We start from the raw sequence: 16075 nt of genomic DNA on the forward strand, positions 1-16075 counted from the left end.
GGGGGACCCCAGTCTTTTAAAAAATAAAAAACTTGGCTGGGCATGGTGGCACATACCTGTAGTCCCAGCTACTCAGGGGGCTAAGGCAGGAGTGTGGCTTATGCCCAGGAGCTCAAGGCTGCAGTGAACCATGGTCATAGCACTGCATTACAGCCTAGGCAACAGACCACAACTCAAAAAGCAAACAAAAAACAGAATCTTTTTGTTTTGGGCATGAAAAATAAGTGAAGAGGCTTTAGAGTTCCTAGGATCTCCACTGGATTTCTAACAAGCAAAAGTTTCCCTAAAGCATGGAAAAACACACAGATTTAACTATATTTAAAGTAAAATGATCCACAAAGCTCATCCTTGCCCAATTCTCATTTAATGAATAAGAAGACTAAATACTTCAGAAAATCAAAGACTACCTTACTAATAGACTTAGATAAATGGATTTCAGTTTAGACCCAAGAAGGGAAGTCAAATCTATAGATACAGCATCTAAGAAGTTGAGACCTTGGTTCTCTATTCTACTCTCCCTATTATTGGCCTTATGACCACAAGTTGGTCAGTTCGCCTCCCTAAGCCTCAGTTTCTCACAGGGAAAATAGGAATATTAGCAAATGACAGAGCAAATTCACAGGACTGCTATCATAGGATTAAATAAAACAACACAAAAAACTGTAAAAATTATATAATACAATGTAAACAAGCAAATGGCATAATAATTATTTGTCCTTGTTCACCAAGTTAGGTTTTCAATATCAATATGCATCTCCCTACCACAGCAGGACAGAGACAGCTACAGTTACTGGAAACTATAAAATGGGTTCCAGTCAACAAAAGCCATTGGACTGCTTTCTGATTCTTCTAATAGAAAATCAGAGCATTAGTAGGAGAGAATGGGGAAAAAAAGGCTTTGCTTCAAATTTATATTTCTGTTCCTGATACCTATTAAGAGCCAGTTATGTAGCTATTAAGCTACAGCTTGCAATTTAAAATAAATAAACTGATAACAAAACCCTTAAATTTCCATCATCAGAGCAGATCAAACTACAACATATGCTACCGAGGATGCAAAGCAGCTAATGAAGACTTCAATATCAGGATTATGACCCTTAATTTCAATAGGAATGTGTTCTGTTGTTTGAGCTCACACATAACGAGAAAAAACATCACGGAAGCACAAATAAACTGTCTCATTAAAAAGCACTTTGCCTTGGTCCAAATATAATTTCGTTTTTATACAATTCAAATGCTATAGAACAAAGAAAGAGAAGGAAGAGGGATGATAAATGCAGAGGACTTGGGAGGGAAGCCTGTTCTGCAATAATTGAGATGGAAAGGAGGGTTCAACCTGCACTCCTTTGTTTGTGGAGACAAAGTCCTCAACAGCTGGCAGATAGCAGGAAGTAGAATGCTGATGGCTTTGCAGTTAGCTTCAAAACCTATTAGCAACCCTCAGATCCAAGAGCTGTACCTGCTTTGAAATAAACCAGGAAATAGGGAATAAATCATTTCTTCTGGAGGGAAAAAAATTGTTTAAAGTGATTAAAACATGCCACAGGTTTCTCACACAGGAGGAATTAAGGAAACTATTTCAGAACTTAATGGGACCTGTTAAAAAAAACAGATTTGTAAGAATTTAAAAGTAAATATTTCTTTATGCAAACTTATCATAGTGAGTATCTTTTAAATACTAAAGCTAGGGATGCACTTGCAACAGTTTTTAGGAAACGGGGGTGGAATGGGGAATCACTTCACTGAAGAAGTTTAAAGACATATTTATTCCTCTGTGGATTCCATTTCTTAAAAGACTGCCCTGAAACTTCTTCCTAAATTCTGTCATAATTCCCTAAGACAGTACCAAGGGAATTATCATTCTTTATTAGATGCCAAAGAAACATAACAAGGATCACAAATGAAACACCAGAAAATTTATCAAATAAGATTGGATGTACAGACCCATTCTAAAGAGCATTCCTTCTCCCCCATGTTTTAAGTCAAATTTATATTAAAAATCTTGAATTTTCTAGGAATTTTAAGTACTGTCCCCTAATTTTCCATTAATAAGCACGCTCATGAGTATGAAAAAAATATTTATTTACATGCATTTATTATAATGGGCCAAGAAAATATTTCTATGTAAAGGTACTATCTTCCTATTAATCTGTAGTTTTTTTGCTTTTTTTGTAAGGGTTGAAAGAAAGAGAAAAGCAACAGATTGCAGGTGGGGATAGAGGCAAAGAGAGATAAACGGTAGAGAAACCAGTTCTGAAATGTCAGGGAATTGCCTGGAGAGAGTTAAATATACTGTTTCTGCGGACCCATTCCCAGATAGGTACCGCCTATTCCTACATATGAAGAGAGAAGAGATGAGTTATATTCATGACTAGTAGGAGTTAGTTTATCTTGCTTCTGTTTTTTAATTTTACTCTAAGACAAAGGGACTGCTATAAAAGAGGAAGAAGTGGAGCTTACTCTAATTACTCTTTATTATTCTCTTGATCATCATCACCTCTAGTAATTTTGTAATTCATTACAGTAATTTATCTAAGTTTCCAAGGATTTTAATATGTTCTTTAGCTCCTAGGTAGAGAAAAATTGTGGTAACAATCAAATGACTAATCACAATTATTGGTTAGGAAAATGAAAATCACAATGCAATCATTATAAAAACAGGGTGTGTATGTAATTACACTAAAACTTCATTGATTTAGGCCATTATTAATATTTGGTAACAACTAAAAATATGTATTATCTTTCACGTTTTATTTCTTCCCAGCTTCTCCAGTATGAATAAGAATGTATACAAGAGGATGTTAATGAAAACAATCTTACAGCATCACATGGTATTAAATAGATTTTTATCTGTAGCTGTATATTTCAAATAAAATTGATATTTTGCTTATTTTCAGAGGAAATTTGTTTAAAATCCTATAATATTTCATGTTGGCTTCAAACTCTATATATTTCACCCCAAACCGTTTCTCAGTACATACTTACATCCTTTTTTCATTAACATGTTCACAAAACCCATTTGGGTCCTTATTTTTCTGCAAAGTACATATTATTTCCAGGCATGTTCTATATTCGTGTGTATGTATGTTTGCTTCTCCCCAATCCACATAATCTTCATGAGATAAATTATATTGCCTTCTTCACTACTATCTGTAGCTTCAACACTTAGAACAATGCCTTGCAGAGAGCAGGTACTTGAGGCAAAGTTGACTGCTTAGATAACTCCAATACCTCTTCACCTCTTCCCATCAGTAACTATATTATTTATTTTTAGCTGAGCACAGGGATCCCCGAAATAAAGACCACATCTTCTAATTTCAAGTTGACTGCTTTTGCCCCTTCTTCTCTCTTTCATTCTTTCTATTGGTTAGAAGATGGTCATAATGGCTGAAAACTCTATTAGACAGCACTGCTTTCAGTCCTTCTTCCTCATACAAACACATATGTTCATATATATATATTTATATAAACACATACACATATGTGAACATCTCCCCAAGCTTCTCCATCTCCTTGCTTTTTGTCAGCATATTAACACACCAGGAGAAGTAGATGTTAGTCTAATCTCCAAGCCACTAGGTCTTTACTTGAATTGATAGGCACATTTTCAAGTGAACCACAATGGCCTTGAATCAGCGTTCTCATTTTATCAGTGTGATGTCAATATTCAGTCCAAAACTAAAAAAAAAAAAAAAATTAGATTTGGGCCACTCATATTTAACACTGAATATGAAGCAAATGGATTGTTCGCCTTTGGGAGGGTGGTCTATGATTAAACAGAAATACAGGGTTACCTCTAAGCAGCTTCATTTTGCTCACTTGGATAACTATCTGGTTAAGTGGTATTCACAGATGGGAAAAGAGTTAACACTCAATGAATGCTATGTTGTCATTAATTCAACAACTGAACAAAAGGGACAAGATCCCCACACTCATAAAGCTAACATTCTAGTGGGGCAAACAAAGAAACAAATAACATCAACAAACCACACTCAATTGGTTTCTTCAGAGAATGTAACACTACTGACAAATTAGTATTGTCAAGAACTACTGGCCATGGAGAGGCGATGGGGAGAGCTTGACCTGTGCCTGCATACACTCTAGGGACTGAGCTTAAAATCTTGACTTTAAGCTCAACAAATGGCTACATCTTTTGACCAAATTCCATCATGCTTTAAGCTCCACGGTTTAAGCCCCTGAAGTCCTTTAGAAGATAGAGGCAACGGCTCTTATTTAATCTATAGACACCAGTTCAACAGCAGAAACTATTATCTTGAACAGGGTAACACCTACAACCGTGAGGAATGATAACCACCTTCTTAAACGTTGAAGATATAATCTGTACGACAGTGGCAGGTGATGCTTTACATTGTTTTATAATATTATCCCACCACCCAGTTCTAAAATAAACTTTAACTTTTTTGTTTTTTAAAGCCAGGAAAGGAGATAAAGAATCAATGAAAGGTCAACACAGAACAGACAGAAAGTACCAGATGTGCTCTCTAAATTATGTTCTGTAAGAGTCAGCAGGGAGAACAGAAATAATTTATTTCAGGAATCCTGACGTTACCATCATGTACACTCGGTTAAATGGTTTGTATAGCTGAAAAACTCAGACAGGTCTTACACCATTCTCCTTTACTTCTACCACTTAGAGAAATTCAATCAAAGGCTGAGGTTAAAGATACCAGTTCCCATCAAGCCAGTATATATATTAAAAGTGGCTTTTCTGATCACAGCAATTCTCAGGCAGTTTAGGTGTAGTGATAAACCTAAAAATATAATCTGACAAATTTTCAACTGTTCATTCTAATGTTCAATACTTCAGTTATTATACTTCATATTTTCCCTATAAATGTCAAGGAAAGGGAATTGTCTATAGGATACACACATACCTATATACACATAAATGTATGGGGGGAGGGATGGAATTTCCATTAAATAAAGAGAGAAGGATAAAAGGTCACACAATTGTCACTTTCTAAAAATAATTTCCCAGGATCTATAATTTCTCAGAGCTGTAGTAAATTAGTCACTTAAACTTATTAAAACCAAAAATTTAAGGAATACCTCTGAATATAACTCAGAATAATGTAACAAGATAATCATGAGCCTTTACAAGATTTCATGTTGATTAACAGTAAATAGCTTTTTTACTGACTGATTTCTGCTTCCAAATGACACCGCCTAAACAAACTTTGTTGCCACAGAAGCCACAAAATTGTAAGGCAATGAATTTCTGAATTGGGGCCTCAATGAGAAGTTTGATTTTTAGGATCTTGAGTGTTCTGAATTGTGCTCAACAGTATTTACCACACGTGTTGCTTGTTTATGAGACAGAGACTACAAACATCTTGAATGGGACTTTTATTTAAAATTCTAGATGTTTCACATTTATATTTTAAAGCAAAAGATCTTACATTTGATCAGCGTGGCTTTTAATTTTAGTTATGATTATTTAAAAATATGCTAAGATATTCCTGACATCTCAAAAGAACAAATTATTACTGTCTGTCAATGCATTTTTAGAAAAACTGTATCATAAAAAATGTATAGCTTCATATAATTAAAACATTCAGGTAGTGTGCATTGACTAAAGTAATATGGACTATTAAGTAATTCAAAATTGTGTTTAGCGGCAGCAGCTGTTTAATTAAAAGGTAAAAACTGCAACTAATCCACTATGGTTGACAGAAATACAGCCTATATCAGCAGTCAGATCCCCTAGGATAGAGAATATGGATATGAATTCAAGAAGTCATGAGCTTCATTTAATGAATATAATGAAAATAACCACAATAAATCAGTACTGAAACATACTTTATATCTAAAATTATCTGTATGTTGGCCCACTTTTAATTTCCTTGTAGCTAATAATTTTGCATTTCGATGTAGCAAAAAATCCTTTAACATACATATTGTCAACCATCAATGCACACAGCTTTTATCAGAGGGCCCATAGCATAAGCTCAACTTATAAGGAGGCTAGAAATGTTCTTAGAATCAGATGATCCCTTCAAAGTTCTAAACTTCAGGGTTCAATATTCAAAGTACTCACTCATAATTACCTTCTATCATGGAGAAATACAAAATGGCCAATAAGCTCATAAAGTTAATCAACCTTACCAACAAGTGACTAACTGAACATTACAATTTCATTACAAAATTATTTTCACCTACGATATTAGGGGAAAAACCTTTTTGTTAATTGAAAAAAGAAACTAGTGATGTTGAGGATGATATAGTCATTTGTAAAGATAATCAAGCAATATATATGATATTCCCAGCCCTTGATCCAGAACTTCCAATTCTAGTGGAATTACACAAGTGGGCAAAACTTTATGTACAAAAATATTTATTGCAGAAATGTTTTTAATATCAGGAAAATGTTTAAAAATATAAATCAATATTGGCAACTGATCCAGAAACTATGGTAAGCATACAGTGAACAATTATCTGGGCATTAACAAGAACTGGAAAAAAACTATCTGTATGTACATTTTATGTGACAAAACCAAAACAAGCCATTGGACAATAAATGCAGAATAAATTCATTTTTATACAATGAATAATTGTAAAATCAAAAGATATAAAAAAAATTTTCTTAAATTTGCCTATGCTTATGTTAAAGTAAACTGTTTAATTCCCTTCATAATTTTCTGCTTAAAAAATGCTTATTTTTATATTGTTTACCCTGGCTGTGCTTTAGGAAATAGATCAGAAGTATGGAATGAGGCAGACCAGTAAAGAGGCATTGCAGTAATACAGGCAAATGAGGTAGAAATGGAAATGTAGAGAAAAACAAAATTATAAATGGCAAATAAATGAATTCTTTTTAGAACAGTTATACTAAAATAAAAAGTCTACCTCCAGCAAATATATATAGAGAGTTATCTTTGAAGGAGGAAAACCAAATCATTTCAACAGTGTTCTTTTATTTCCAGGAGGGGAAAAATGTCCTATTAAAATGGCAGAAGAGAAAAGGGGAAGGAAGGGGAAGGGTCTCTCTTTTACTTTACAAACTAGAAACAAACAGTTCACAGGTTTCTTAACATTCGTATCAAATGTCCCGTGGATTTTATTTGCAAATTATGAGGCCAGCAAAGCAGAAAATGGGAGTCTTTAATTAGGAAGAACAGGTGGCTGAGAGGCACAAGGTGAGTATTAGCCACATCTCTGCCTGGTGCCAAAAAACACAGATCCGACCTGCAGAACAAATTTTAAGGGTGAGAGCGTAACTGTCTCCAGTTGGAGTGGAGCTTGAGTGGAGCTCAAGCTCTGTATTCAGCTTTTCTGAATTATATTTACTCCTATTTAAAGTGAAATGGTTTGCTCTTCAGCTTTGGTTGGAATTTACCAATTACAAATTATTGACCTTCTTCATATTGACATTCTCCACACAGTCTACAATCCTCTCTGCTGCAGTTGAAGCAAATTCTTGACCTGCCAAATGTTCCTGTTTCTCTTACTGGGTTTTCAAAATGATTCTCCTAAACAGCTGATTACGTATTTTAAGTTAGAATGACAATATAGGGCTTATAAAAGTGGAACACAGAGGATTTTCAGTGCATTGAAACTATTCTGTATGATACTCTAATGGTAGATTACATGCAAGTAACTATTTGTCCAAACTCATCGAACATACATCACTAAGAGTGAACCCTAATAGAAACTATGGACTTTGGGTGTCAATGATGTGTCAGCTCATCAACTGTAACAAATGTGACACTCTGATAGGGAATATTGATAAGTATATGTGGAAGGGGAGGGAGTATTCGGGATGACTCTGTACCTTCTGCTAAATTTTGCTATAAACCTAAAACTGTTCTACCAAGTAAGGCTATTAAGAAGTGCTCAGAGCTGGGTATGGTGGTGTGCACCTGTAATCCTAGCTACTTGGGAATCTGAGGCAGGAGGATCACTTGTGCCCTGAAGTTTAAGGCCAGCCTGGGCAAATATCACAAGACCTTGCATCAGAAAGAAGAAGAAAGAAGAAAGAAGATAGAAGACAGAAGAAGAAAGAAAGAAGAAGGAAGAAGATGATGAAGATGAAGATGAAGATGAAGAAGAAGAAGAAAAGAAACTTAAAAACCACTTATACATAGATACATATTTTTTAAAGCTTTTCTGTCATTAAATGTTTTGGGTTTACAAAATTAAACATTTGGCATTCTTGCTCAAAAACAGCAGTAATCTTATCTTAAAGTTCATAATAATCATATACGCCCAGCCTCTGGCTCTCAACTTATGAGTCTCACATTTAGGCAAATTTTTATGAATTGAACCAATGGCATTTCATAGTAACGTAAGTTCATGTCCAAGTGCCACAGCTTGCCACTTGCTTGATTTTAGGCAATTTTCATAACATCTTATGCCTCAGTTTCCTCATCTCTAAAATGAGAGAAATTCACATATCTACTTCACTGAGTTGTGACAATTAAATGAAAGAATGCAGTTAGGAGCTCAGTGAAGGGCTTAGCACACAGTAAAGACTTAAGAAATGTTAACTCTTTTTGTTATGACTAACTACAACTTAATGTAAAAGGGAACTACAAGTAATTTTTTAAATCGATAAGCACATGGAGCCTTCGAGGAGAAAACATGACACCTTCAAAAATGAATATGCAAGGTTTGGAATTCGTTACTTCAGAGTAGAATTTTACCAGGTTAGAGGAATGACTTATAACCATATCTAAAAATTGTCATTCTTCAGTGCATTGCTCTTCATCTGCATTTGAAGCTGCCTCGTTATAAAAAAGCTGTAAAACGTCCTCAAAGTAACTTTAGTTCTTCCCCCTAAGAGTTCAAAATCCACTCCCTAGGTTTATTCTTTGGTACAAAAACCTTCAAAAGCTGATTTGCTGATGATAACAAATTTGTTTTCAGAAATAATATTCCTGATCTGAGGTGATAAACAATTCAGAACTTTCATATCATTGGGGAATTACATTTAAGAGATCAACTGGGGATCTGTGAAATAAGAAGCATTTACCTTGCTAGAGGAATGCTAGCCTGCATTTAATTGTATAATATTTCCCCTTCAGGGTGTATGAGACAGCGTGTTGGAAAATGGAATGATTCTTGGCTTTATTCAGAAAGAGAACAAAGGAGAGAAGGCAGGTAAAGGACACAGCACCATGGAAATGACATTTCGTTTCCATTTGAATTCTAAAGTACTGAACTTTTAAAATCTTCATTTGAAGAAACTCTGAGAAATTTGTCAGGAGGGAGTAAGAAAAATGATATAGCCTACCACTTAAGATAGGGTGCCAAAAAACATTAACAATTGTTCAACCTAAATGGTTAGTATTCAGGTTGAAGGGTGGCAGAATATGCCACCCCTACATATGCCACTTTAGCATAAGGATTATTTTGAGCTAAAGGCACTTAAAAAACAGCAGGTGCTAGAAGGGCGCTGTGACTCACCCCTTTTTCTTCCCGAATGCAGGGATAAAACCCCAATACAGAAGATGTCCTCTTTATACCAGAAGGAAAGTCACATTTTTATCATCAAGGATGAAAAGGTGAGACCTGGAGAATGCTGCACAAAGATACCATGTGAAAATAATTCTTATCTTCCTTTAGCCTGCCTACAGAGTTCACTTACTTTTCCACAATTGCATCTTTTCAGTCAATCGAATATAAAAGCATCTAGGTTTTGCCATTTCTTTATGTCTTCATTTCCTAATGAGGGCTCCATAAAACTTCTATTAAGTATATTTGCATGCTTTTCTTCTGTTAAACTGTTTTACATCAGTTTAATTCTCAGGCCCAGCCAAAAAACTCTAACAAGGCAGGGGTAGAATTTTTGCCTTCCTCACAAGGTGTTCGTTTTTCTATTCTTGAAACTTTCCGTATGTTTCACAATTTTTATAAACAAAAGTTGGGGGAATGAACTATTACTAAAAAATCTGGAAGACAAAATTCTGTTCTCATTTGACACACCGAGTATCTATTTACACTTTTCTCGGAAACAGCGTCTTCTCCTCCTCCACAAAACCCATGTGCTCTGAGGGAGGCTGACTCCATCACTTGGGCTATAAGGATAAGCCACAGCTCTGGTGAGGACAACTGGCAAAATCCCATCACCCTGTTCATTTGATTGGCTCAGGGGATGAGTGAGAGATGAAAGTTGGACCAATAAGGATGAAGGATTTTTTTTTCAACAGTTATCAGAAGAGCCTTTCCATTTTCCTACAAGACATGAATGGACAAATTAGAAAGGCCCAGTGCCAGGAGTGACATTAGAACCATGATCTGAGAGTCTCCTGGAGACTGGGCACAATATCAAGGAAATACAGCCAAGACACACACACACACACACACACACACACACACGGGAGAAGGGGGAAGGAAAAAGAGGGAGAGTGTATTAATCTGTTCTCACACTGCTAATAAAGACATACCTAAGACTGGGCAATTTATAAAGGAAAGAGATTTAGTGGACTCACAGTTCCACATGGCTGAGGAGGCCTCACACGCATGCCAGGTGAATCAAGAGCAAAGTCACACCTTACATGGCAGCAGGAAGGAGAGCCTGTACAGAGAAACTCCTGTTTATAAAACCATCAGATCTTGTGAGACTTATTCACTACCACAAGAACAGTATGGGGAAACTGCCCCCACGATTTAATTATCTCCACCTGTCCCTGCTCTTGACACATGGAGATTATTGCTATTCAAGGTGAGATCTGGGTAGGGACATAACCAAACCATATCAGAGAAAAACGTAGAGAGAAAAAAGGGGAAAGAGAAAAAAAAGAGAAGGAAAGGTAGAGGAAGAGAGGCCATACATGCACTAGATAAAGTCGCACCTACAGCTGAGCAAGATAGTTTCCAATTATCCTAGCCAATAAATTCTATTGTCTGCTTAAGCTAGAATGGGTCACATTTTTAGTTGCTTACTAGTGAAATTATCCTAACATGCTAACAGGCAAGATAAAAATAGTCTGAGCAATGACTAAAGGAGCACATTTTTTACCTCATATACTGACAATTCAAGAGCATTATTGCATCATTTGCTGCCAAATGGAGAGGAAAGTTGGTTCCTAAGGACCCCCTCGGCCAGAAAAGTACAAAACATCTGTTGAAGTCATGGGTGACTTGTTAGCAAAGTTCAGCAGCAGTAAAGCTTCCTAAGAAACAGGTCTTTTCTCACCAGCGGGTATTGATATAATTAGGGTCAATTACAATTTAGAATTTCCAGGGCATGGGGCTGAATTACAGTGGCATTTAAGAGCTCTGCTAAATTTTCCCATTCATCTTGAAGATTTCTGGAGGAACCTGTTGTAATTAAGTAATCTTCTTCTTTTCATTTTTATGACAATTTTCTTCTTCAGGCTTTGCAATTACCCACTACTCCAAAGTACCTTCCTTTAGAAGAAGAATTAAAAAAAAGACCACCTGATTTTCAATCGACAATGAGACTTGGTTTTGCTGCCTGCTAAGTGATGGATTGTGATGTGTACAGCAATCTCTAAATAAGCTGCTTCAACAAGATTTTTTAAACTCCCACTGCCCTCACCAAACACAGATAATCCCAAAAACTCATTGTCTGAGTGGGTGATCAAAAACGAAAGAGGTGACATTATGATTGCTGGGCATCCTTTACCCACGTGGTTTGTAAGTAGCCCTGGGAGATGTGCAAACAAACTCTATTACTTCCTTGTGGGTTTTCACATATGCTTCCCCCATACAGATTTTATGAAGACATACCTTTTGAGCTTTATGCAATCGAGGGGAAAGAGCTTTCACTGGATTAAGCTATTCCAATTGCATTTACCTTGGGCAACAAAGTATACCATATCCATAAAAAACAGCCAGAGGCTTTTAAGTATTAGGTCAATAGCACTTGAGTATCATATAGTCCCAAAAGAAGCTGTAACAGATCATGTTGATTTTATGGAATGCCTTGGCTCTCTCTGGGGAGGGAGTAGTACATAGGGAGTGAGGAACATTATGACACCTATTACTATCAACCACTGTTCAGTGATGGCTTTCTATGCAAGCACCCAACCACCCTGAGAAAAAAGTACTAACATCTTCAATTGCACAAAAGAAGAGGGAAAAATAATTACAGTTAGTTGTCTGGTCTGTGATCATCCAGCTCAAGTGAAAAAACTAAAATTTGAAAACCTCATCTTTCCAATTCCAAAGTTTATATTTAAAAATTGTACTTCCAGTGTTGAAAAGTATCTTTGGGAATAGTTATGCCAGTTTCTGACTCACAATAAGATACACTCCATGCATGTTGTGTGTGTGTATCTAAAACCATCCTTGACCCAGTACAGGCACTTCTAGTTAATCTTTCAACTGATCTTATCCTTGTCCAGCGTGTGGGCCACTGCTCATGCCATTTCTTCTACACAGCATACCTTTCTTTTCCCTCCCATTTCCACCTATGGAAATCTTGCTTGTAAGTCAAAGCCCTGCTGTGAACTAACTATGTGCAAGACATGACAAACACAGCAGTCAGACAGATGTAGCCTCTTTGTTATCTATTCCATAATAACACGAGGCATGTAATAGTGTTTCACAGTTTATGAAGACCTTCCAATGCACTTCCAGAATGGCCAAAATTCCAGCTAACTCTGGAAAACGCATTCCAAAGAGAACCAACTAGAATAAATGGGGAAAAATTTTATGTCATGAGTACCGAATGTGTGCCAAGTATTTCCATATATGCCTAACTTAATCATTGGCTGTATGACAAAATATGATTGCAAGCATATTAATGTATTAATTCAAAAATATTTTTGCAACAGCTCTGTTGTTAAAGGTTCTGTGTTAGACACTTGATGCAAGCAACACAAAGATGAATCAGACGAGAGGAAATAAAGTCTACACAAGTAGACAAAGAAAAACAGTGCTTTATATTGGACATTAACAAACAAAAGGAACCTGTAATCCCAGAACTTTGGGAAACCAAAGCGGGAAAATTGCTTGAGCCCAGGAGTTTAAGACCAGCCTGGGCAACATAGCGAAACCCCGTCTCTATAAAAAAATTTTAAAAATTTAAAAAATTTAAAAAATTAGCAGATCATAATGGCAACTGCCTGTAGTCCCAGCTACTAGAAAGGCTAGGTGGGAGGATCACTTGAGCATAGGGGGGTCAAGGCTGCACTGCGGCATGATCATGCTACTGCACTCTAGCCTGGGCGACAGTGAAACTCTGCCTCGAAAAGAAAAAAATAAATAAATAGAAGGAAATAAACGTGTGCTCAAAGGGTATTATGGTAGTAGACACCTTTATTCCAGCAGCTAGTACTGTACATGGGAAAGAGCAAATAATGATTATTTAATAAACAGATAATAAAAAAAGACTGGGCTGGGCGCGGTGGCTCATGCCTGTAATCCCAGCACTTTGGGAGGCCGAGGCCGGTGGATCACTAGGTCAGAAGATCGAGACCATCCTGGCTAACAAGGCGAAACCCCTTCTCAACTTAAAAAAAAATACAAAAAAAAATTAGCCGGGCGTGGTGGCGGGTGCCTGTAGTTCCAGCTACTCGGGAGGCTGAGGCAGGAGAATGCCGTGAACCCAGGAGGCAGAGCTTGCAGTGAGCCGAGATAGCGCCACTGCACTCCAGCCTGGGTGACAGAGCGAGACTCCATCTCAAAATAAATAAATGAATAAATAATAAAAAATAAAAACAAATAATAAAATAAAAAACACTGTGGCCTCATCGAGTTTCTACTGTAGTACACCATTGAAAGAGCACAGAACACTGAAGTATTCATTGCTACTTATATTTTTAAGTTTTTATTTCCATTCTACACTCCAGTGAGCAAATCAAAATGCCTACTGCCAAAAAAGGCTCATAATTAATACATTTTTACTTACAATGAAGGCTATCATTAGTATATCACCAATTAATGTCAGAAAAGGAAGATCTGTCATGATATTCTGAATCGACATTGTAAAAAGGAGAAAATATATGGATGGAAAGTATTCTGGCATGTTTCTAGTTATTAAGAACAACTCTGCTGAACAGCAATTTGGGATGATGTGAAATGAAACAAATGATATCACTCATTGTATTCAGTGTGATGATCAGTTGGCAACAATTACAAAAATGTACCAGTAAGGATATAATATCAAATGTCTATAGATAGTCAAAATTGCAAATGGCATGGAAAAAACATAAGAGAAAACCATCACACCTTTCTCTCTGTTTTGCAGTCAATGATTTTCTCATTTGTATTCTCCTATACTGTAGACTTCCCAGGACAGAGATTACCTGAGGTTCTTCTCTGGATCTCTAGACAAAGCCCACTGTCCAATACTTAATATATGACTGTTAACTATGGAAACAAGGAAGGAAGGAAGTCACAATTTCATTCTGAAAACTAATCCACCTTCTTATCAGCCAATATGTCCTCCTTCAAGGAGCAGCACTGGAAAAACTAATGAAATAAAACACCAGGACAAAACGTGGTATCCTTCTCCAGAATGCACAGGAAATTTCTGAATATTACCAAGAATTAAATATATTTGATTGTTATATAGCCTCAAATGGGCCAGCACTTACTTGTGAGTTACTAATCTAATCTCAACTATTTCTTTTCTTTACAACATTGTATTTCAAAATAACTCAAACCTACAATTGGTTGCAAGTTAGTACGATGAATACCTGCAATACCCTACTTCAACTGTTAAGGTTTTATCATATCTGCTTTCTCTCTTTTACACACACAGACACACATATAGGCACACACTCAGCAATATCATCATCATTTTCCCAATTGCTTCTTAGGGCACAATGGTTTGGGTATTCAAGAAAACAAGAATAAAAGTCATGGCATCCTGCAGACCAAAGCAAGACCTAACCCTTGTGTGAGGTATAATCAGTATCTTGAGTGAAATCATTTCCCTGGAGTGAAGAGTTCCCAGTGCAATGAACAGTGAGAACTACAACCGGAAAAACAGGTAGCAAAGACCCTAATAACTCCATATTTTATCTAATAAGAAATGAAGTGCTGAAGATTTGTGAGTGGGCTTGTAACCAAATAAAATGATTTTTCCCAATATAAATTAGAGATACTATATCAAACGCACAGCAGAGACAAGAAGGTGGTGGCAGGAAAATCAGGCAAGTTTAAAACACCTAGAGTATTAGCAAAAAAATACATAATATAACTGGATTTGTTCTATTCCTCTAACAAAATATAACTAAAAGGGTTTGAAAAGTCATCGGCCAACAATATTTAATATAACATACTCAAATCACATATATTTCAATTAATTAGGTTTCTACAGGAGTAATGTGGTATTTGGACTTGGACATTAAATCAATACTGGCCTTACAGTTACTTCCCATGTTCTTCAGCCCTCCATTACAATCCACTCCCCTACCCAAAAATCAATACCAAAGCCTTATATGAGACAGAAAGGACAGTAATCTTTAAGTGGAAATAGGAATCTAAATTACAATTGTAAATGTCTAAAGCTTGTAGTCTGGGGATTTTCCTAATGGGAATATTTGATGTGACTTTTTGTTATTCTTATGGTTGTGCTCATAAGCACATCACAAGGATGGTTTAAAGGCCCGAGCACCATAAATTAGATATTCTTTAAGAAATCATGTTCTTGACATATTTTTTCATTATCTGAGAAGAATGAAACAGATTTTTTTTGTTAATTAGTGCTAAGGCATGTATTTTGCATTAGCATTAAGTTTACCAAAATGGCTTTAAAAACTTGAACAGATGGCAGAATTATAATAACTTTTCCTTATGATTTAGGTTAAGAATAAAGTGTCATGAGAATTCTCCTCCTACCTAACTTTTCTATAAAGTTAATGCATTTAATAGATATGGCATGTTTGTTTTTCTCACTGAGGTGTAAACAACTCTATCACACCTCAGATGAGTATAATGAGATGCGGGAATACATTTCAATACTCTCTACCTAGGGTAAAGGGATTTTCCAGGGTTTAAACATCAAACCACGCAGAAACAACTCCAAACCTTCGACAATAACTGCACAGGATGGCACAGGGGTTGCAAAGACAGATGTCTTTAGGGGCCTGGCAGGTACTGAAAACGAGTAAAGTAGACTTGCTCTGAGGATAATAGG

At 36.2% G+C, this 16075-nt stretch overlaps 1 protein-coding gene across 6 annotated transcripts in view; it reads right to left on the reverse strand.

Annotated features, from left to right (window-relative positions):
* FHIT (fragile histidine triad diadenosine triphosphatase) overlaps positions 1–16075 on the reverse strand; it is a 1504176-nt gene that overhangs the window by 492107 nt on the left and 995994 nt on the right. The gene's annotated exons all lie outside the window — the stretch shown is intronic.

Source organism: Homo sapiens, chromosome 3 (assembly GCF_000001405.40).
Source record: "Homo sapiens chromosome 3, GRCh38.p14 Primary Assembly".
Classification (NCBI taxonomy): Eukaryota; Metazoa; Chordata; class Mammalia; order Primates; family Hominidae; genus Homo; species Homo sapiens.